This window comes from Homo sapiens, chromosome 19 (assembly GCF_000001405.40).
Source record: "Homo sapiens chromosome 19, GRCh38.p14 Primary Assembly".
Taxonomy (NCBI): domain Eukaryota; kingdom Metazoa; phylum Chordata; class Mammalia; order Primates; family Hominidae; genus Homo; species Homo sapiens.
The window spans coordinates 12646512-12667756 of record NC_000019.10 but is presented as its reverse complement, the minus strand read 5'-3'; the positions used below and the strand labels follow the sequence as shown (position 1 = coordinate 12667756).

The 21245-nt window shown below is 54.0% G+C and overlaps 2 protein-coding genes across 6 annotated transcripts in view, besides 12 other annotated features; one reads left to right on the top strand and one right to left on the bottom strand.

The window, feature by feature from the left end:
• The window catches only part of WDR83 (WD repeat domain 83), a 9026-nt gene extending 8076 nt beyond the window's left edge, over positions 1-950 (bottom strand). For both annotated transcript variants that reach the window (NR_029375.2, NM_001099737.3), the window contains exon 1: positions 765-950. The gene's annotated coding sequence lies outside the window, so the exon portion shown is untranslated. The remainder of the gene's footprint in view (positions 1-764) is intronic.
• Positions 873-1152: a silencer, noted in NCBI's record as "silent region_10156". NCBI's record gives its function as "represses an Ori minimal core promoter by ATAC-STARR-seq in GM12878 lymphoblastoid cells {active_cell/tissue: GM12878}" and the evidence as "EXISTENCE:reporter gene assay evidence [ECO:0000049][PMID:35858748]".
• On the top strand, positions 1015-21245 carry MAN2B1 (mannosidase alpha class 2B member 1). Of its 4 annotated transcripts, none has more exons than NM_001173498.2 (24): positions 1015-1214; positions 1952-2054; positions 2232-2405; positions 2772-2965; positions 3922-4054; positions 4295-4440; positions 6381-6497; positions 9250-9329; positions 9413-9533; positions 9616-9694; positions 10202-10311; positions 10701-10808; positions 11070-11186; positions 11878-12063; positions 15297-15394; positions 15487-15604; positions 17535-17653; positions 17743-17844; positions 18329-18416; positions 18541-18621; positions 19355-19582; positions 20159-20314; positions 20422-20524; positions 21025-21245. In NM_001173498.2, the coding sequence occupies exons 1-24, from the start codon at positions 1056-1058 to the stop codon at positions 21135-21137; spliced, it is 3033 nt and encodes a 1010-aa protein (NP_001166969.1). In that variant the 5' UTR covers positions 1015-1055; the 3' UTR covers positions 21138-21245. The 4 variants fall into 4 exon arrangements, with proteins under 4 accessions (NP_001166969.1, NP_000519.2, NP_001427499.1 ...); NM_000528.4 differs by having other exon boundaries at positions 9247-9329; NM_001440570.1 differs by having other exon boundaries at positions 9244-9329.
• Positions 1403-1532: an enhancer, noted in NCBI's record as "active region_14068". NCBI's record gives its function as "activates an Ori minimal core promoter by ATAC-STARR-seq in GM12878 lymphoblastoid cells {active_cell/tissue: GM12878}" and the evidence as "EXISTENCE:reporter gene assay evidence [ECO:0000049][PMID:35858748]".
• Positions 1403-2396: a biological region, named in NCBI's record as "H3K4me1 hESC enhancer GRCh37_chr19:12776175-12777122".
• Positions 1449-2396: an enhancer, noted in NCBI's record as "H3K4me1 hESC enhancer chr19:12776175-12777122 (GRCh37/hg19 assembly coordinates)". NCBI's record gives its function as "activates a minimal SCP1, AML or CMV promoter by ChIP-STARR-seq in primed H9 embryonic stem cells {active_cell/tissue: H9 hESC(primed)}" and the evidence as "EXISTENCE:reporter gene assay evidence [ECO:0000049][PMID:30033119]".
• Positions 1553-1682: an enhancer, noted in NCBI's record as "active region_14067". NCBI's record gives its function as "activates an Ori minimal core promoter by ATAC-STARR-seq in GM12878 lymphoblastoid cells {active_cell/tissue: GM12878}" and the evidence as "EXISTENCE:reporter gene assay evidence [ECO:0000049][PMID:35858748]".
• Positions 1743-1792: an enhancer, noted in NCBI's record as "active region_14066". NCBI's record gives its function as "activates an Ori minimal core promoter by ATAC-STARR-seq in GM12878 lymphoblastoid cells {active_cell/tissue: GM12878}" and the evidence as "EXISTENCE:reporter gene assay evidence [ECO:0000049][PMID:35858748]".
• Positions 2333-2382: an enhancer, noted in NCBI's record as "active region_14065". NCBI's record gives its function as "activates an Ori minimal core promoter by ATAC-STARR-seq in GM12878 lymphoblastoid cells {active_cell/tissue: GM12878}" and the evidence as "EXISTENCE:reporter gene assay evidence [ECO:0000049][PMID:35858748]".
• Positions 2397-3345: an enhancer, noted in NCBI's record as "H3K4me1 hESC enhancer chr19:12775226-12776174 (GRCh37/hg19 assembly coordinates)". NCBI's record gives its function as "activates a minimal SCP1, AML or CMV promoter by ChIP-STARR-seq in naive H9 embryonic stem cells {active_cell/tissue: H9 hESC(naive)}" and the evidence as "EXISTENCE:reporter gene assay evidence [ECO:0000049][PMID:30033119]".
• Positions 2523-2572: an enhancer, noted in NCBI's record as "active region_14064". NCBI's record gives its function as "activates an Ori minimal core promoter by ATAC-STARR-seq in GM12878 lymphoblastoid cells {active_cell/tissue: GM12878}" and the evidence as "EXISTENCE:reporter gene assay evidence [ECO:0000049][PMID:35858748]".
• Positions 10236-10436: a silencer, noted in NCBI's record as "peak3365 fragment used in MPRA reporter construct". NCBI's record gives its function as "represses an SCP1 promoter by STARR-seq MPRAs in K562 erythroleukemia cells {active_cell/tissue: K562}" and the evidence as "EXISTENCE:reporter gene assay evidence [ECO:0000049][PMID:32103011]".
• Positions 19831-19930: a silencer, noted in NCBI's record as "silent region_10155". NCBI's record gives its function as "represses an Ori minimal core promoter by ATAC-STARR-seq in GM12878 lymphoblastoid cells {active_cell/tissue: GM12878}" and the evidence as "EXISTENCE:reporter gene assay evidence [ECO:0000049][PMID:35858748]".
• Positions 20171-20240: an enhancer, noted in NCBI's record as "active region_14063". NCBI's record gives its function as "activates an Ori minimal core promoter by ATAC-STARR-seq in GM12878 lymphoblastoid cells {active_cell/tissue: GM12878}" and the evidence as "EXISTENCE:reporter gene assay evidence [ECO:0000049][PMID:35858748]".

Here is a 21245-nt window from a genome sequence, read left to right as displayed (position 1 = left end):
CAAACTCCTGGGCTCAAGCAATCCTCCCACCTCAGCCTGCCACGTAACTGGGACCACAAATGCGTGCTACCATGCCCAGTTAATTCTTGTTTTTTTTGAGACAGAGTTTTGCTCTTGTTGCCCAGGCTGGAGGGCAATGGCATGATCTTGATCTCGGCTCACTGCAACCTCCGCCTCCCAGGTTCAAGTGATTCTCCTGCCTCAGTCTCCCAAGTAGCTGGGATTACAGGCATGTGCCACCATGCCCAGCTAATTTTTGTATTTTTACATTTTGTGTAAAATTACAAATTTTGTGTTTTCAAACCCGTCTCTACAAAACAACCCATGTTGCCCAGGCTGGTCTCAAACTCCCAGGCCCAAGTGATTCACCAGCCTGGCCCTCCCAAAGTGCTGGGATTGCAGGCTTGAGCCACTGCGCCTGCCCTGGGCTTTGTTTTCTTATCAGAGAATGAACTGGTAGGAATTGGGAAAGGCATGAAAGACTCGGGGTCCTTCCCCACTTGTCAGACCCTCTTTTCTCTCCGGAACACCCAGGGATCCTTCTCAACCAGGCTGGATCCCATCCCTGGTACTCCAGGGGTATTTACCCAACGTCCCAATCCCCACAGTATAGGACTCTTCATCAGATCCTCCTCTTAGGCAAGCTAGGTCCTTCCAGGACCCTAGCGCTGAAGGTCCATGGGACGGACACCCTGGATTCCCATGGACACACTACACCGGCTAGGAAAACCCGGCCCCCTTAGGAAAAGCACTTCTGCTCCTACCGGCATTAAGAGGCATTCCGTCTTGGAATTCCGGCATTAAGAGGCATTCCGTCTTCATAGCCCGTGAGACGCCAGTGTCACCTTTAGCCCAACCAGTGCCCTGAGGGTGGCATTTTCCTACCTTCCTGTAACGACCCCCGGGATTGCCCAGGGCTACAGCCTCTCTCCCGTGAGCCTCCAGACCGCGCCCTGGCCCCGCCCCCCACCCCGATTGGCCCGGCCGGGTCTGGGGGCGGGGCGTTTGCCCGGCCTTTCCAGGGCCGGGGAACCCCAGGAGGAAGCTGCTGAGCCATGGGCGCCTACGCGCGGGCTTCGGGGGTCTGCGCTCGCGGCTGCCTGGACTCAGCAGGCCCCTGGACCATGTCCCGCGCCCTGCGGCCACCGCTCCCGCCTCTCTGCTTTTTCCTTTTGTTGCTGGCGGCTGCCGGTGCTCGGGCCGGGGGATACGAGGTGAGTGGGGCCTCCGAGCTGAAACGTACAGGAGGCAGAGTGAAACCCAGAATACAGTCTAGAGGTGTGGGTGGGTCTGTCCTGTGGGTGTCTAGTGAATGGCTGATGATATGACAGTGTGGTCTGAGTGCGTGCTTTGTGTCATTGCGAGGTCTGGCTGTGCGCATCTGAGTATAGGACTGTGTCTGATTGTACCTGCCTCCGTGTCTCCGGGATGCTTGCCTAGACTTTGTCTGCACTTAACTGTGGGATTGGAGGGGCAGGAGGTGGCAGGGGGTGAGCAGTGTATGTGTGGGGGGAGGTGCTGGCTGAGAGCTGGGACTCTGGAGTCTGCCTGAAATTCCAGCCTAGCTCTTACACTTCCTGAGTGTGTGACGTTGGGCAAGTCACCTATCCTCTCTAAGCCTCAGTGCCTTCATCTGGAAACTGGGGATAACATCACCCCACCTCCCACGGTGGCCGTCTGCTGTCGGCAAATGCTGAACAAACATCAGCTACTTCTATTATTATTTTCCCGGAGTGTGAATGAGAGCTGCCCTGTGGGGTTGTGCAAAGTGGAGTTGTATCTATGAGCACAACTATGTATGTGTGTGTCCTGCCTGGGAGGGCCTGGCCTCCTCTGCACATAGGCGAGATCAGGCCTCTCTGAGTCACTCACCTCTAGATCAAGACTTACTCTGCAGCCCCCGACCTCGGGGGTTATTGACAAGGTATGTGTGTTTGGGGTCCCTGTGCAGACATGCCCCACAGTGCAGCCGAACATGCTGAACGTGCACCTGCTGCCTCACACACATGATGACGTGGGCTGGCTCAAAACCGTGGACCAGTACTTTTATGGAAGTGAGTAGAGGATGGGGACTGGTCCCTGGGATCCCCATGGTCCCTGTAATCCCTCTGGGTCCTGGACATTAGGGTGGGGCCAGTGCTACCCTAATATCCAGGGTTTGGGCTCCTCTGTCTAGGAATAACCCCCTTGGCTCTGCTGTTCCCTGAGAGCCTTATCCCTGTTATCCACAGTCAAGAATGACATCCAGCACGCCGGTGTGCAGTACATCCTGGACTCGGTCATCTCTGCCTTGCTGGCAGATCCCACCCGTCGCTTCATTTACGTGGAGATTGCCTTCTTCTCCCGTTGGTGGCACCAGCAGACAAATGCCACACAGGAAGTCGTGCGAGACCTTGTGCGCCAGGGTGAGCCTACCCCAAGGAAGTGAAAAGAGGAAGCCCAGCCCAGCTTCTGCTTCTGCATCTCTGGTTTCTGAGATTTGTCATGCCACGTGCAAGCTGTATAACATGCGTGTCGCTCCGCCTGCCTGGACTCTCCATTTGGAGACCTCCTATACATCCCACAAAGCCCCACCTGCTGTGCATCCTCTGGGAAGCCTGCCATGCAGGGGGCCTCTTTCCCATATCTGGGAACTATGGCCTGGGAGCGACCCCTCTTGTCCTTCCGCCAGAAATGTGTACACAGGCAGGCTTTCACATTCCCAGTATCACCCACCCTACTCCCACTCCTGGCTCTGACCGCTGACCCTGACCTTGCCTGTCCTGGCACAGGGCGCCTGGAGTTCGCCAATGGTGGCTGGGTGATGAACGATGAGGCAGCCACCCACTACGGTGCCATCGTGGACCAGATGACACTTGGGCTGCGCTTTCTGGAGGACACATTTGGCAATGATGGGCGACCCCGTGTGGCCTGGCACATTGACCCCTTCGGCCACTCTCGGGAGCAGGCCTCGCTGTTTGCGCAGGTGCGACCCGGGACCTCTCTTGGGCCCACTTCTTCACTCACTCTGGCTCCTCCCTCGCCCAGTCAAACCCCGCCCTCTCCCTGCAATCTCACAAGGACCAGGCCCAGGCCTAGGCCTGTTGAAGCCCTGCCCCTTGAGTGAGCCGTAAAGCCAGTGGCTTTTGAGCTCTGGCCTCAGCCGGCTATGCCCAGCCCAGGCTGACCCAGCTCCGGCTGGCTCCGCCCTCTCCCCTAATAGGCCCCTCTTGGTGTTCTGGCCCCACCCACTAGCTCGGGTCCTGGCTCCTCCCTAAACCGGGTGGCAAGTGGATGCCTAGGCTGCCTTAAAAACAGGTTCATTACCTGTGCTCAGACCCCATCCATCCTCAGGCTGTGGAAGGGGGAACCTCATTCCTGGAGTCAGGCCTGCTCTGCGCTTTGACAGTGCTGGGGAGGTGAACCTGGGTTCTGATGTTGGACCCGCCCTCTCCCTGCTAGCCCAAGGTGGTGAGTTCTGAAACTTCCCCAAGCTTGGAAATAAGCTGGAGGCCTCTCTGTTTCAGCCCTACGTGTTTTTGTTTTTGTTTTTTGAGACAGGGTCTTGCTGTCATCCAGGCTGGAGTGCAGTGGTGCAATCCTAACTCACTATAGCCTCAATCTCCCGGATTCAAGCGATTCTCCTGTCTCAGCCCCCCTAGTAGATGAGACTACAAGAGCGCACCACTACGCCTGGCTAATTTTTAAATTTTTTGTAGACAGTCTGCCCGTGTTGTGCAGGCTGGTCTCAAAAACTCCTGGGTTTAAGTGATCCTCCTGTTTTGGCCTCCCAGAAGGCTGGGATCATAGGCAAGAGCCACCACATCGACCTAGCACTGCTTTTTAACCTGTGCTCTGACCTGCCCCTCCCAAGCAGAGGGGAGTTTGGTGGTGAGAGGGCTGGGCACTAATTCACACTGCCTTTTCCTCCCTCATCCCCAGATGGGCTTCGACGGCTTCTTCTTTGGGCGCCTTGATTATCAAGATAAGTGGGTACGGATGCAGAAGCTGGAGATGGAGCAGGTGTGGCGGGCCAGCACCAGCCTGAAGCCCCCGACCGCGGACCTCTTCACTGGTAGGGGGCTTGGTGAGGGCAGGGCCAGCCATGGTGCCACACACTCAGAAGGGCCCTGGGCTTGATATCTGCTCTGTTGTCACTGTCCTGGAATTCCTATAGTCTGGGAACAAAGGCCCTGCATTTCCTTTTGCATTGGGACACAAATTCTGAAGCCCATCCTGGGTGGGACATGGCCGGCTTTGAAACCAGGGAAGGTCTGGGTGATGGGCCACCCCTTGAACTTGGTGTGACCTGCAGGTGTGCTTCCCAATGGTTACAACCCGCCAAGGAATCTGTGCTGGGATGTGCTGTGTGTCGATCAGCCGCTGGTGGAGGACCCTCGCAGCCCCGAGTACAACGCCAAGGAGCTGGTCGATTACTTCCTAAATGTGGCCACTGCCCAGGTAACCCTGGTGTCCAGAACCTTCGAGTCCGGTATATACAATACAATGAGCTCTTTCCATGGTACAGGCATCCCCTAACACGTTCTCCTTATTTTTAATTTTTTTGAGACAGTCTTACTCTGTCACCCAGGCTGGAGTGCAGTGGTGCGATCTCGGCTCACTGCAACCTCTGCCTCCTGGGTTCAAACAAGCACATCCAGCTAATTTTTGTATTTTTGCACTGGGGTCTCATCATGTTGTCCAGGCTGGTCTCAAACTCCTGAGCTCAAGTGATCTGCTTGCCTCGGCCTCCCAAAGTGCCGGGATTACAGGCATGAGCCACCGCACCTGGCCTCTATTTTTAACATTTTTATTTATTTATTATTATTTTTTTTTTTTTGAGACAGAGTCTTGCTCTGTCACCCAGGCTGGAGTGCAGTGGCATGATCTCAGCTCACTGCAACCTCCGCCTCCCGGGTTCAAGCGATTCTCCTGCCTCAGCCTCCTAAGAAGCTGGGATTAGAGGCACCTGCCACCACACCCAGCTAATTTTTGTATTTTTAGTAGACAGGGTTTCGTCATGTTGACCAGGCTGGTCTTGACCTCAGGTGATCTGCCCGCCTCAACCTCCCAAAGTGCTGGGATTACAGGTGTGGGCCACTGTGCCTAGTCTATTTTTAACATTTTTATTGAGAATTCCTTTTTTATTTTTTTTAGACTCACTCTGTCGCCCAGGCTGGAGTGCAGTGGCACGATCTCGGCTCACTGCAACCTCCACCTACTGGGTCCAAGCGATTCTTCTGCCTCAGCCTCCCGAGTAGCTGGGATTACAGGTGCCCACCACCATGCTCGGCTAAGTTTTATGTCTTTTTAGTAGAAAGGGGGTTTCACCATATTGGCCAGGCTGGTCTCGAACTCCTAACCTTTTGACCCACAGCCTTGGCCTCTCAAAGTGCTGGGATTACAGGCGTGAGCCACCGCGTCCAGCCTTTAACATTTTTATAATTAAAAAACATTATTTTTTCACAGAGATAAGGTCTCACCATGTGGCCCAGGCTGGTCTCAAACTCCTGAACTCAAGTGATCCTCCTGCCTTGGCCTCCCAAAGTGCTAGGATATAGGTGTGAGCCACCATGCCTGGCATAACACGTTCTCCTTAAAAAAATTTTTTTTTCCTTTCTTTAAAAATTGATGGCTGGGCATGGTGGCTCACGCCTATAATCCCAGCATTTTGAGAGGCCGAGATGGGCAGATCATCTGAAGTCAGGAGTTCAAGACCAGCATAGCCAAAATGACGAAACCCTGTCTCTACTAAAAATACAAAAATTAGTCGGGTGTGGTGGCGCACGCCTGTAATCCCAGCTACTTGGGAGGCTAAGGCAAGAGAGTCGCTTGAACCTGGCAGGTGGAGGTTGCAGTGAGCCGAGATCACGTCACTTCACTCTAGCTTGGGCAGCAGAGTGAAACTCTGTCTCAAAAAAAAAATTGTTTTAGATTAATTTTTTTTTTTTTTCTTGAGACAGGGTCTTGCTGTGTGGCCCAGGTTGGTCTTAAACTCCTAGACTCAAGCGATCCTCCTGCCTCAGTCTCCTGAGTAGCTGGGATTACAGGTGTGAGCCCCTGTAATCATGTTCTCATGCCCCCTGGAGGAAGATGCTATTCTATTCACCATCACAATGTCCCCCTCCTGGATTTATGTGCATTCCTCATTAGAAGAGATAGCATAGGCTGGGCAAGAGATAGCATGGCATGGTGACTGGATGCCCTCTTCTAGGTAGTGGGTCCAAGAGAACTGCTCAACAACTGGTGGCTACTTTTATCTGTGTCCCCACGCTCCCAAGTGCCATACCCCCACCCATGCCTGTGCACCCAACATCCTTGACCCCATATACATCAAAACACAGCTATACACAGGGATGGCCCAGGATCCTCTGGCTTCAGGACTCCCCTCTTGCCTGCAGGGCCGGTATTACCGCACCAACCACACTGTGATGACCATGGGCTCGGACTTCCAATATGAGAATGCCAACATGTGGTTCAAGAACCTTGACAAGCTCATCCGGCTGGTAAATGCGCAGGTCAGTGCGCCTACCCTGTGGTACCCTTGTGCACATGTGCGCTTGCATCCGGGGGCCTTGGGTTATGTGCATAGCTCTCAGTGCTGTCTTTGTTTTCTATTGTTCTATTGTGGTCATTCTATAACAAATGACCACACACTTAGCAGCTCAAAACAACAGAAATACATTGTCTTACAGTTCTGTAGGTAAGAAGTCCAGCATGAGGCCGGGCGCAATGGCTCATGCCTGTAATCCCAGCATGTTGGGAGGCTGAGCCGGGCAGATCACGAGGTCAGGAATTCGAGACCAGCCTGACCAACATGGTGAAACGCTGTCTCTACTAAAAATACAGAAATTAGCTGGGTGTGATGGTGCGTGCCTGTAATCCCAGCTACTCGGGAGCCTGAGGCAGGGGAATCTCTTGAATCCGGGAGGCGGAGGTTGCAGTGAGCGGAGATTGTACCACTGCACTCCAGCCTGGGCCACAGAGAAAGACTCTGTCTCAAAAAAAAAAAAAAAAAAAAAAAATCCAGCCTGAGTCTCACCAGGCTATAATCAAGGTGTTGGCAAGGCTGTGTTCCTTCTGCAGTCTCTAGGAGAGAATATAATTTCCTTGCTTTTTCCAACATCTAGAAGTTACCCACATTCAAAATCTATTCTTGGCTCCATCTTCAAAGCCAGCCACATAGCATCTTTCTGACCCTGTTTCTGTAATCACATCCCTTTCTCTCATTCTCACCTCTTCTGCCTCTCTCTTCCACATTTTATTTATTTACTTAGAGACGGAGTCTCGCTCTGTCGCCCAGGCTGGAGTGCAGTGGCGTGCTCTCGGCTCACTGCAACCTCCGCCTCCTGGGTTCAAGTGATTCTTCTGTCTCAGCCTCCCAAGTAGCTGGGACTACAGTCGCGTGCCACCACGCCCAGCTAATTTTTGTATTTTTAGTAGACAGGGTTTCACCATGTTGGCCAGGATGGTCTCGATTTCTTGACCTCGTGATCCACCCCGCTCGGCCTCCCAAGGTGCTGGGATTACAGATGTGAGCCACTGTGTGGCCTAATTTCCCTACTTTAAGTTTGGCTGATGAACAACCTCAATTCCATCTGCAACCTTAATTCCCCTTTTGCCATGTAATCTAATGTGGTAATAGGTTCTGGGGATCAGGACATGGACACTTTTGGGCAGTTATCATTTTACCCAACACAGATGTGTTAGTGTTTTGCACTAAGTGGCCTGTGGCTGTGGCTGTGTGCACAGTCAGTCACTCTCATCAGCACAGAAACTTGTCTCCCCTCTCCCATCTCAGACACCCCTTCCCATCAATCTTGTCCTCACTACGGTGCAATCTCCATTCCCACCTTCCACTCGCTCCCAGCACTGCTATTTCACCAAAACAGCTCTTTTATGTCATTTATTTTTATTTATTTTTTCTTTTTAAAATTTTATTTATTTATTTATTTATTGAGACAAGAGTCTTGCTTTGTCACCCAGGCTGGAGTGCAGTGGCATGATCTTGCCTCATGGCAACCTCTGCCTCCTGGGTTCTAGTGATTCTCCTGCCTCAGCCTCCCAAGTAGCTGGGACTACAGGCATGTGCCACCAACCCTGGCTAATTTTTGTATTTTTAGTAGAGGCAGGGTTTCACTATGTTGGCCAGGCTGGTCTCAAAACTCCTGACCTCAGGTGATCCGTCCGCCTTGGCCTCCCAAAGTGTTGGGATTGTAATCTGAGGTGGGCGGATCACTTGAAGACAGGAGTTGGAGACCAGCCTGGCCAACATGGTGAAACCTTGTCTCTACTAAAAATACTACAAATTAGGTGGGCGTGATGGCACTCATCTGTAAGACCAGCTACTCGGCAGGCTGAGGCAGGAGAATCGCTGGAACCTGGGAGGCGGAGTTTGCAGCCAGCTGAGATCGTGCCACTGCACTCCAGCTTGGGCGACAGAGTCAGACTCAGTCTCAAAAAAAAAAAAAAAAAAAAAAGTTTATTGAGCACCTACTGTGTACATTGGGGGACACAGCTCGTGCAAAACAAACATCCTTTTCCTCACATAGGTCACTTTCTTGTTCCTCCACCTTGCTCAGGTGAAAGTGCACCTCCATTCATTATAAAAATTGTGTCTAGGCCGGGCACGGTGGCTCATGCCTGTAATCCCAGCACTTTGGGAGGCTGAGGCGGGCGGATCATGAGGTCAGGAGATCGAGACCATCCTGGCTAACACGGTGAAACTCCGTCTCTACTAAAAAATGCAAAAAATTAGCCGGGTGTGGTGGCGGGCACCTGTAGTCCCAGGTACTCATGAGGCTGAGGCTGGAGAATGGCGTGAACCCAAGAGGTGGAGCTTGCAGTGAGCTGAGATTGAGCCACTGCACTACAGCCTGGGCAACAAAGTAAGACTCCGTCCCAAAAAAAAAAAGTTGTGTTTTTTGGTAACAATCTGACAGTCCTGCAAAACGATTATTCCTGCCCTATAATGTCACACTTAGTTTTTCCACAAAAGTTTTTAATAATAAAGTTGGAATTATTGTAAAAGTTTAGTAAAATTTCAGGTTTATTCTTGCATCTCTGAAATCCTTTTAAAAAAGGCTAGTGGTCATGTTTGACTTCAGCCAAAATTCATTTTCACACCCAACCATTGGCTTGCACGCCAAATATGTATTTAGAGAAACTGAACCTATGGGATGCATGAATGTGCACACATGTGTGGAAGTGTGGGCCCCCAGGAAGGTGCGGACTCCCGAGGGCTCACTCCGTCGCCTCCCCCAGCAGCAGGCAAAAGGAAGCAGTGTCCATGTTCTCTACTCCACCCCCGCTTGTTACCTCTGGGAGCTGAACAAGGCCAACCTCACCTGGTATTTGGGGAAACTGGGGAGCTTGGGGGGGTTGGCATGCCCCGTGGGTCATGACCCTGCCCTCAATGCCCCTGCCGCTGTAGGTCAGTGAAACATGACGACTTCTTCCCTTACGCGGATGGCCCCCACCAGTTCTGGACCGGTTACTTTTCCAGTCGGCCGGCCCTCAAACGCTACGAGCGCCTCAGCTACAACTTCCTGCAGGTGGGTAGGAGCCGGGCTAGAGGGGGCATGCAGCCCCGAGGCCCGACAGGCTGGGCGCCCCAACATACCCCTCTGCCTCCAGGTGTGCAACCAGCTGGAGGCGCTGGTGGGCCTGGCGGCCAACGTGGGACCCTATGGCTCCGGAGACAGTGCACCCCTCAGTAAGTGTCGGGCCCAAGAGGGGAAGAGGTTTGCGGCTGAAGTTGGAAACCACCCCTAGGCCGCCCCCCTCGAGTTTCTTCTTTTTTTTTTTTTTTTTTTTTTTTTTTGAGACGGAGTCTCGATTTGTCTCCCAGGCTGGAGTGCAGTGGTGCGATCTCGGCTCACTGCAAGCTCCACCTCCCGTGTTCACGCCATTCTCCTGACTCAGCCTCCCGAGTAGCTGGGACTACAGGCGCCCACCACCACGCCCGGCTAATTTTTTGTATTTTTAGTAGAGACGGGGTTTCACCATGTTAGCCAGGATGGTCTCGATCTGACCTCGTGATCCGCCCGCCTCGGTCTCTCAAAGTGCTGGGATTACAGGCGTGAGCCACCGCCCCCAGCCGTCCTCGAGTTCCTTCTTAAAGCCTCTAAGAATCCTGCCCGCCAGCACCGGACCTTTCGCTTCCCCTTGGGGTCTCAGCTGAGTCCCACAGAACCTCACCGGACTCATTGTCTATGAGCAGATGAGGCGATGGCTGTGCTCCAGCATCACGACGCCGTCAGCGGCACCTCCCGCCAGCACGTGGCCAACGACTACGCGCGCCAGCTTGCGGCAGGCTGGGGGCCTTGCGAGGTGCGCGGGGCGAGACTTGGGAGACACGGGGGTGGAGACAGGAAGGGGCGGGGCCAGGGCCTGGGAAAGGGGACAGAGACAGGTGTGAGGCGTAGCCGAGAGCCCTGTGGCGGGGCTACAAGGGCTCGTGGGGGCGGGGCTTGTAGGAGGCGGGGAAAGATACAGGAACGGGGCGGGGCTTTGGAGGGGGGAAGGAGGCGGGGCGTGGGCAAGAGGAGGCGGAGACAGCTATGGGGTATAGTCAAGGGCAGCAGGGTGGGGCTAGAAGGGGTTTTGGGGCGACTCTTGAGGGAGGCGGGACAGAGACCGGAACGGGGCGGGGCCTGAGGAGAGGGGAGGAGTCAGGCCTGGCGTCCTGAACCCACCGGTCCCTTTGCGCTCTTCCGCAGGTTCTTCTGAGCAACGCGCTGGCGCGGCTCAGAGGCTTCAAAGATCACTTCACCTTTTGCCAACAGCTAAACATCAGCATCTGCCCGCTCAGCCAGACGGCGGCGCGCGTGAGCCGGGACGGGAGGGGTGGATCTAGGGCAGATGGGCTTTAGAGGGGGTAGTTGGAAAATGTTTTTGGAGGACTATACAGGAGTGAAATTACGTGGGCTGCGAAGCTGGGTCAGCAGAGAGAACAACGCATCTCGAGGGGGCTTGGCCTTAAGTGCCGTGACCACACTAGGACCAGCCAGGGGTGTTTCTGTGCAAAGTGGGTGGGTTTGGAGAAGGCCTGCTGTGACCCATGCCCTCTCTGACCCCCGCCTCCCCAGTTCCAGGTCATCGTTTATAATCCCCTGGGGCGGAAGGTGAATTGGATGGTACGGCTGCCGGTCAGCGAAGGCGTTTTCGTTGTGAAGGACCCCAATGGCAGGACAGTGCCCAGCGATGTGAGCCCAAACAACGAATATTCCCCCGCTGGGACTCCTCCCCCAGTGGGCATTTCCTCATCGCCCCCATGGATATCGCCTGCTTCCATGAATACCTCCCACTCATGCATATCTCTTCCCCCCTCTTGTATCTTCTCCCTCTGCCCCTTAATATCAGTCTCCCCTTGGGAACATATGCCTCCTGTGAGTGGTCCTCCCTTTTTTTTTTTTTTTTGAGACGGAGTCTCGCTCTGTCACCCAGGCTGGAGTGCAGTGGCGCGATCTTGGCTCACTTCAAACTCCGCCTGCTGGATTATAGGCATGAGCCACCGTGCCTGGCTGGTCCTCCATTTTAATACCCCGCTTCCCCAGGAAAATTTATTGCTGTTTATGGACATCTCCTTCATTCCAGAAAACGTCCTCCCCCAAACCTCTTCCTCCCCCGAGAACCTGCCTCAAGGGTTTCTTCCCCTACTTCCTCCTTCACTCCCCCGACTCCATGGTCTCTCCACCCTCCCGGTGGGTTTTTTTTTCCACCTGGTGAATCTTCTCTGCAATCATTTCCTTGGAATCTGACTGTCCCCCCACCACACACACCTCCATTTCCTTTCCCCATCTCAGGACTCTTTTCCTTCCTTGAGTTTTTTGTCTCCATGCATGTATAGCTTTCCATGGGTACTCTTGACTCAGTTTCCCTCCTCCTTTATCCGAGGTGGTAATATTTCCCAGCTCAGACAGCCAGGCGCACCCTCCGGAGCTGCTGTTCTCAGCCTCACTGCCCGCCCTGGGCTTCAGCACCTATTCAGTAGCCCAGGTGCCTCGCTGGAAGCCCCAGGCCCGCGCACCACAGCCCATCCCCAGAAGATCCTGGTCCCCTGCTTTAACCATCGAAAATGAGGTGAGACCCCATTTCAATCCCCTTTCCTGCTCCTGTGACAAATTTGAAGTGTCATGGTGAGCTGTGTGGACTCTGGGTCAGCAGGTCCCTAGGCTTATGACCTCCTGTCACAACTCCCCTCATTGTGTGTCCTTGAGCAAGTGACCTTTGTCTGAGCCTCAGTGTCCTTTCCTGGGACTGTTATGAGGACCCAGTGTGATCATGGGTGACACTTGACAGACATGTCAGAGTTGGTGGCAGGTGGTGGTTCGCAATTTTGGCAGGGACGTTTCAGGGAAGGTGTTCCCGATAAAGGTGACATTTAAGATATGACCTGAGGGAGGGAGCCGTGTGGCTATTTGAAGGAAGAGAGATCCAGGTGGGGAGAGAATAACAGGCATAAAAGCCTTCGAGCAGGAGAGTGTGCAGAATTCCAGGAGCCACAAGGAGCTCAGTGTGGCTGAAGCAGGGTGAACGGGTGACAGGTCAGACCTTGAGGGCCTTGAGGACCAACAGGAAGACTTTGGCTTTTGCCAGTCATTGTTGCTCATGTGTCTACTCCTAGCTCTTTGGGAGGCTGAAGCGGGAGGATCACTTGAGCCCAGGAGTTGTCCCAGCTAATTGGGAGGCCCAGATGGGAGGTTTGTTTGAGCTGGGGAGTTCGAGGTTGCAGTGAGTAATGATTGTCCCACTGTACTCCATCCTGGCAACAGAGTGAAACCCTGTCTGAAAAGAATAATAATAAAATAGGCCAGGCATCGTGGATTATACCTGTAATTCTAGCACCACGGGAGGCTGAGGTGGGTGGATCTACTGAGCTCAGGAGTTTGAGACCAGCTTGGGCAACATGGTGAAACCCAGTCTCTACAAAAAATTAGCTGGGGGTGGTGGTACACGTCTGTAATCCCAGCTACTTGGGGGCTGAGGAAGGAGGATTGCTTGAGCCCAGGTGGCAGAGGTTGCAGTGAGCCGAGATCATGCCACTGCACTCCAGCCTGGGTGACAAAGTGAGACCCTGTCTCAATAAAATAAAATAAAAGAAGTTCTGCAGTAGGACTGTTCATGTTAGGAAGAAAACATCTTTTTCATATTTTTATTAAAATAAAATAAAAGAAGTTAAAACGTTCCCACAGGCCCCTAAAAGTCTTGTGAGTTCTGGCATTGTGGTTCACACATCAGATGCCCAAGTTGGCCCTGGTCCGCAGCAGAGGAGGGCTTTGATGGGACTTAGGGTATCACAGGTGTGCTCTGGCTGTTGTGGGGAACAGACTGTAGGCAGCCAGTGTGGAAGTGCAGGGACCTGGAAGGGGTTGACTGCACTGGCCCTGGAAGGCCCTGGTAAGAGGTGGTGAGGTTGAAAATAAGGTTGGGGGGGCCGGGCGCGGTGGCTCACACCTGTAATCCCAGCACTTTGGGAGGCCGAGGCAGGCAGATCACGAGGTCAGGAGATGGAGACCATCCTGGCTAACACGGTGAAACCCTGACTCTACAAAAATACAAAAAATTTAGCCAGGCGTGGTGGCGAGCATCTGTAGTCCCAGTTACTCGGGAGGCTGAGGCAGGAGAATGGCGTGAACCCGGAAGGCGGAGCTTGCAGTGACCTGAGATGGCGCCACTGCATTCCAGCCTGGGCAACAGAGTGAGACTCCGTCTCAAAAAAAAAAAAAAGAAAAAAAAAGAAAAAAAGAAAAGGCTGGGGTGGGCACGTTGGCTCATGCCTGTAATCCCAGGACTTTGGGAGGCTGAGGCTGGCAGGTCACCTGAGGTCAGGAGTTTGAGACCAGCCTGGCCAACACAGTGAAACCTCGTCTGTACCAAAAATACAAAAATTAACTGGGCGTGGTGGTACACACTTGTAGTCCTAGCTACTCGGGAGGGAGAGGCAGGAGAATCACTTGAACCCAGGAGGTGGAGGTTGCAGTGAGCCGAGATCATGCCACTGCACTCCAGCCTGGGGGACAGAGCAAGACTCTGTCTCAAAAGCAAACAAAAAAAAAATCAGGTTGAATGGCTGGGTGTGGTGGACTGCTTGAGCCCAGGAGTTGGACACTAGCCCCAGGCAACATAGTGGGACCCCCATCTCTAGAAAACAAATTTAAATTTTTTTTTTTTTAATTTAGTAGAGATGGAGTTTCACTATGTTGGCCAGGCTGGTATCAAACTCCTCACCTCAGGTTATCCACCCAACTTGGTCTCCCAAAGTTCTGGGATTACAGGTGTGAGCCACCACGCTCGGCCCTAAAAAAATTTTAAATTGAGAAAAAAAGGGGCCAGGCGTGTTGGCTCATGCCTGTAATCCCAGCACTTTGGGAGGCTGAGGGGGGGGTGGATCATGAGGTCAGGAGTTCGAGACCAGCATGGCCAATATTGTGAAACCCTGTCTCTAATAAAAATACAAAAATTAGCCAGGTGTGGTGGCATGTGCCTGTAGTCCCAGCTATTCAGGAGGCTGAGTCAGGAGAATTGCTTGAACCCGGGAGGCGGAGGTTGCAGTGAGCCAAGATCACGCCACTTTCTGCACTCCAGCCTGGGCGATAGAGCGAGACTCAGTCTCAAAAAAAAAAAAAAAACAAAAAACCCAGGCCAGGTGCAGTGGCTCACGCCTGTAATCCCAGCCCTTTGGGAGGCCAAGGCGGGTGGATTACCTGAGGTCAGGAGTTGGAGACCAGCCTGACCAACATGGCGAAACCCCGTCTCTACTAAAAATACAAAAATTAGCCAGGCATGGTGGCATGTGCCTGTAATCCCAGCTACCCAGGAGGCTGAGGCAGGAGAATTGCTGGAACCCAGGGGCAGAGGCTGTAGTGAGCAGAGATTGCGCCCCTGCACTCCAGCCTGGGCGACACAGCAAGTTTCTGTCTCAAAAAAAAAAAATAAAAATCCGGCTGGGCACAGTGGCTTATGTCTGTAATCCTAGTACTTTGGGAGGCCAAGGTGAGCAGATCACTTGAGTTCAGGGGTTTGAGACCAGCCTGGCCAACATGGTGAAACCCTGTCTCTACTAAAAATATGAAAATTAGCCAGGCGGGGTGGTGGGCACCTGTAATCCCAGCTACTTGGATAGCTGAGGCACGAGAATCACTTGAACCCGGGAGGTGGGGGGTGCAGTGAGCCAAGATTGCACCACTGTACTCTAGCCTGGGCTACAGAGTGAGACTCAGTCTCAAAAAAAAAAAAAGAAAAAAGAAAAATTAAAAAAAGAAAACACACACACATACACACACAAACCCATCTGTGGACCCTTTTCTGCCCAGCACATCCGGGCAACGTTTGATCCTGACACAGGGCTGTTGATGGAGATTATGAACATGAATCAGCAACTCCTGCTGCCTGTTCGCCAGACCTTCTTCTGGTAAGGGAAGATCACCAGGCCTGAGGGTGGGGTGGTGGTGCTCGGCATGGAGCTAGGGCCCCTTACCTGACTCTCACCTGCCCCAACTCCAGGTACAACGCCAGTATAGGTGACAACGAAAGTGACCAGGCCTCAGGTGCCTACATCTTCAGACCCAACCAACAGAAACCGCTGCCTGTGAGCCGCTGGGCTCAGATCCACCTGGTGAAGGTCAGGGACTAGGAATGATGAGTGGGCAGTTGGGAATGGGGAAGTTATGGAGCCCAAGAGGGTGGTGGGCCATGTGTAGAGTGAGGGTAGGGGAGGATTTACTTTTCCTTCAGATCAGTGGGCTAAGACCCACAGATCAGCGGGGGAAATATTTGAGGGTCCTTCCATAGAATTGATATTCATAGCTGGTCGTATGAGAGTCTCCCCATAGGACACATCATACAAAGCCATTCACATCTGCTGTGGACGTTTACATACTTAGTTTTGGAAATTGGGGGTGGGGCATTCCCACTTGGCCCATGAATCAGGAGAGCCAAATATCACTGCTTGAAGAATTCACCAAAGTCTGTAGTAAGAGGAGCTTCTATCTGGAGTGAATATTTGAGAGTCCACCCTTGGATTGATTGGGTTTGGGTGAGTCTCAGGGTGAATGCCTATGGGTGCATCTGGCTAGGAACAGTGGTTTCCCAGGGCCTCTCATTGATGTTTGACTTTCATAGATGACAAAACTCACATTTGTCCACATTCAAGAGCCTCGCGTTTCATGTGAGTCCCTTTGAGATGAATGTCTGCATATCTGTATATAGTTTTGCCTGTTCTAACAGAGTTACCCAAATTAACTGTGACTAGAATAAGATAGAAGATTATTTTCTTCTAACAAAAAGTCTGGCTGTTAGTCCAGAGAAAGTGGGGTGGTTCCATAATCACCCAGGACCTCCTCTTCTATCTTGTTGCTCTGCCTTCCCCAATATTCAGTTTCCACCTCATGGTCCAAGATAGCTGCTGAAGCTCCAGCCGCCACATTTGTGTTTGAGTCAGTAGCAGAGGGACAGGGGCAAGGAACATTGTTGACACCACTTGGATCACTTTCTATGGGGCAAACTGGTCACTCAGCTACTGATAGCCTCAGGGAAGACTGGACAATATAGTCTTTATCCCAGGTAGCCATGTGCCAAGCTAGAATCCTATTCTATGGGGCAATGGTGAACAGGAGGCGTTTATGCCACGCTCAAGAGTGATGTGGTAAGCCAGATGCAGTGGCTCATGCCTGTAATCACAGCACTTTGGGAGACTGAAGCAGGAGGATCGCTGAGCATAGGAGTTCAAGACCAGGTGGGAGCATTTGCTGATTAGGTGCCTACATAGTGATGCCCTGTCTCAAAAAAAAAAAAAAAAAAAGAGGCCGGGTGCAGTGGCTCACGCCTGTAATCCCAGCACTTTGCGAGGCAGAGGCAGGCAGATCATCTGAGGTCAGGAGTTCAAGACAAGTCTGGCCAACATGGATAGAAACCCCGTCTCTACTAAAAATACAAAAATTAGCCAGGGGTGGTGGCAGGTACCTGCAATCCCTCTACTCGGGAGGCTGAGGCAGGAGAATTGCTTGAACCCAGGAGGCGGAGGTTGCAGTGAGGCAAGATTGTGCCACTGCACTCCATCCTGGGCAACAAGAGCAAAACTCTGTCTCAAAAAAAAAAAAAGAAAAAAGAATTATGTGGGCCAGGCGCGGTGGCTCACGCCTGTAATCCCAGCACTTTGGGAGGCCGAGGCGGGCTGATCACGAGGTCAGGAGATCGAGACCATCCTTGCTAACACGGTGAAACCCCATCTCTACTAAAAATACAAAAAATTAGCCGGGTGTGGTGGCGGGTGCCTGTAGTCCCAGCTACTCGGGAGGCTGAGGCAGGAGAATGGTGTGAACCCGGGAGGCGGAGCTTGCAGTGAGCCGAGATCGCGCCACTGCACTCCCGCCTGGGCAAAAGAGCGAGACTCCGTCTCAAAAAAAAAAAAAAAAAAAGAATTATGTGGCGGTGACTGAAGGTTGACCTTGATGTAGGCCTTAATGGGGTTTATGGCCAGGGTTGGGGGACATTTGTAGGACTCACCTCTGCTCAGGTACAGACTGACATCCACCTCACCCGTGTGCCCGCAGACACCCTTGGTGCAGGAGGTGCACCAGAACTTCTCAGCTTGGTGTTCCCAGGTGGTTCGCCTGTACCCAGGACAGCGGCACCTGGAGCTAGAGTGGTCGGTGGGGCCGATACCTGTGGGGTGAGTGGCACAGGCTGGGAGAGGGGTGTGGAAGCAAGGGCAGAGGGGTTTATCCAAGGCTCACAACCTTGCCATCCCATTGGGTACAGCGACACCTGGGGGAAGGAGGTCATCAGCCGTTTTGACACACCGCTGGAGACAAAGGGACGCTTCTACACAGACAGCAATGGCCGGGAGATCCTGGAGAGGAGGTGGGGGGTGACTGAGAGCACTGAGGGGGTGGTCTGTGGTGTGTTGGGGCCCAGGGGTGGTGAGGGAAATTTGCTGATTACATGAGTGTGGGAGACAGAGGACGAAGGGAGAGTGAAGGGCGGGGGAGCCAGGCAGGGTGCAGTGGCTCACGCCTGTAATCCCAGCACTTTGGGAAGCCGAGGCGGGCAGATCACAAGGTCAGGAGATCGAGACTATCCTGGCTAACATGGTGAAACCCCGTCTCTACTAAAAATACAAAAAAATCAGCCGGGTGTGGTGGCGGGCACCTGTAGTCCCAGCTACTCGGGAGGCTGAGGCAGGAGAATGGCGTGAAGCCGGGAGGCGGAGCTTGCAGTGAGCCGAGATCGCGCCACTGCACTCCAGCCTGGGTGACAGAGCGAGACTCCATCTCAAAAAAAAAAAAAAAAAAAAAAGAGTTGGGGAGCCAGATCCCAAGCCTGATCAGCTCACCCCCAACCCCAGGCGGGATTATCGACCCACCTGGAAACTGAACCAGACGGAGCCCGTGGCAGGAAACTACTATCCAGTCAACACCCGGATTTACATCACGGTAGCTCTCCCCCATCCTGCACCTCCCCACCTCGATAGAAAGGGAATCACCCCTTATCTGCAGCATCTCAAAGCTGCCTGGGGTTGGGGTTGACTGCCCTCTACTTTCACCCTTCAACTCCCAGGATGGAAACATGCAGCTGACTGTGCTGACTGACCGCTCCCAGGGGGGCAGCAGCCTGAGAGATGGCTCGCTGGAGCTCATGGTGAGTGGGTCAGAGCCCCATCCGAGCCAGGGTCCTCCCAACCTGGACCCCTGCTGGACCTTGAAGGCTGTTTCTGGCCCAGTTCTCTGCTTTCAGGCCCCACTAAGCTGAGGACTCCGTTTCTTTCTTTTCTTCTCTTTGAGACGGAGTTTTGCTCTTGTTGTCCAAGCTGGAGTGCAATAGTACTATCTCAGCTCACTGCAACCTCTGCCTCCTGGGTTCAAGTGATTGTCCTGCCTCAGCCTTCCGAGTAGCTGGGCTTACAGGCACACACCATCACGCCCGGCTAATTTTGGTATTTTTAGTAGAGATGGGGTTTCACCATGTTGGCCAGGCTGGTCTCGAACTCCTTACCTCAGGTGATCCACTCACCTCGGCCTCCCAAAGTGCTGGGATTACAGGCGTGAACCACCGCTCCCGGCCAAGGACTCCATTTCTGTGTGTGGCTTTTCCTCTCCGTTTTTCTCCATCTCCTGCCCAGGCTCCCTCCACGCTCTGGCGTGCCATATCCAGGCCCCCCTGTTAGGCATTTACCTCCTTCCGGCCTGGTTCCCATGCCTACTTGGATCCTGCCTCTGCTGGGGTTGCCCTACCAGACCCTCACCTTCATCCTCATCCGTTCCTCCCACCCTTTAATTTCTTTTGACATTCCCACACGCCCTTACCCAGTTTCTGGCCCAAGGACACCCACAAACCCACGACTCTCACCCCCTCCTGGCCACTCTCCCCCCAGGTGCACCGAAGGCTGCTGAAGGACGATGGACGCGGAGTATCGGAGCCACTAATGGAGAACGGGTCGGGGGCGTGGGTGCGAGGGCGCCACCTGGTGCTGCTGGACACAGCCCAGGCTGCAGCCGCCGGACACCGGCTCCTGGCGGAGCAGGAGGTCCTGGCCCCTCAGGTGGTGCTGGCCCCGGGTGGCGGCGCCGCCTACAATCTCGGGGCTCCTCCGCGCACGCAGGTGAGGGGCAGCGGGGTAGGCAGAGAGGACCGGATTGAAGTCTACCAGGGAGCCGGGTTTGGGTGCGGAGTTTCCTAGGCTCAGCGGGGATCCATTTGGCCATAATTAGCCCCAAACCCTCGGGCCAACCCCATCCCCTGGGCAGTCCCCGCCCAGTGCCAGCCCAGTCCCAACCCCCCTGGACTGTGTAGAGGCACAGCCCTAGCTCATGCCCCTAAACCACCAACTCACCTCCGGCCCCGCCCATTTCACTTTAGCCCCGCCCTCTCACCGCCCCCAGGCTCTGTCCTGCCTCACCCAGCCCCGCGGCTTCAGCCCCGCCGTAACTCCCAAAGTCTCAGGTCACATCAGTTCTGCTCCATCGGGACTCGAACCCTAAGCTTGGGACCGACCCATCTCCCCATTGGCTCAGTCCTCCCTGTCACGGCCCTGGCCGCTCCTCTCGGCTGAGCCTTGCCCCTCTCCGGCGAAACCCCGCCCCTACAACCTAGCCCTGCCTCCTGACCTGGCTCGGCCCCGCCCTTCTCCATCCAGGCCCCGCCCCTCTCCAACTCAGCCCCGCCCTCTCTCCCGCAGTTCTCAGGGCTGCGCAGGGACCTGCCGCCCTCGGTGCACCTGCTCACGCTGGCCAGCTGGGGCCCCGAAATGGTGCTGCTGCGCTTGGAGCACCAGTTTGCCGTAGGAGAGGATTCCGGACGTAACCTGAGCGCCCCCGTTACCTTGAACTTGAGGGTGAGAAGGGCAAAATTGAGAAGGAGATCGGAGAGAGGCAAGAGAGAGGGAGAGAAGAGAAACCTGGCTTTGCCCCAACTCATCTGGGCCCATCCCCTTCCCCGCAGGACCTGTTCTCCACCTTCACCATCACCCGCCTGCAGGAGACCACGCTGGTGGCCAACCAGCTCCGCGAGGCAGCCTCCAGGCTCAAGTGGACAACAAACACAGGTGGGGCCCTGGTCAGGGGTAGGGAAGGGGTGGAGTCTTACCTGGGGCCGGCAGGTGGGGGCAATGTGTGAGGCATGGGATGTTGGCCAGGACCCAAAAAGGTCATGAGGGTATGGGGCAGAGTCCAGACCCAGGTTAGGGGCTTAAAGGATCTGAAATGGGTGCGGCAAACCAGGAATGGGTCTTGAGGTTTGTGGGTGCTGTTTAGTCCCAAGAACAAGATTTGAAAATCCCCATCCATGTCTAGTTCTGGGAGGGTGTTCATCACCCCTGGGGTCAGATTGAGGGTACGAGGACAGTGGCCAGATTGAGGGTATGAGGACATTGGACCTGGGGGTGGTATTCGGGGCCGGGGAAGCAGGTTAAGAGTCTGGGATTGAGGCCCTGGAGACAGATTCGGGGATATGCAGCTGTGTCTAGACCCAGGGGAGGAAGCATCGTGGGGTGAGTCAGAGGAAGTCTGCACCTCCTCACTCCTCCTTCCCCCTGCACCTCTCCAGGCCCCACACCCCACCAAACTCCGTACCAGCTGGACCCGGCCAACATCACGCTGGAACCCATGGAAATCCGCACTTTCCTGGCCTCAGTTCAATGGAAGGAGGTGGATGGTTAGGTCTGCTGGGATGGGCCCTCCAAGCCCAAGCCTCCTGCTCCGGGGGCAGACCAGACTCTGACTCTCCTCTTGGGGCTGCTGCCATTAAAACGCTACTACTAAGACTCA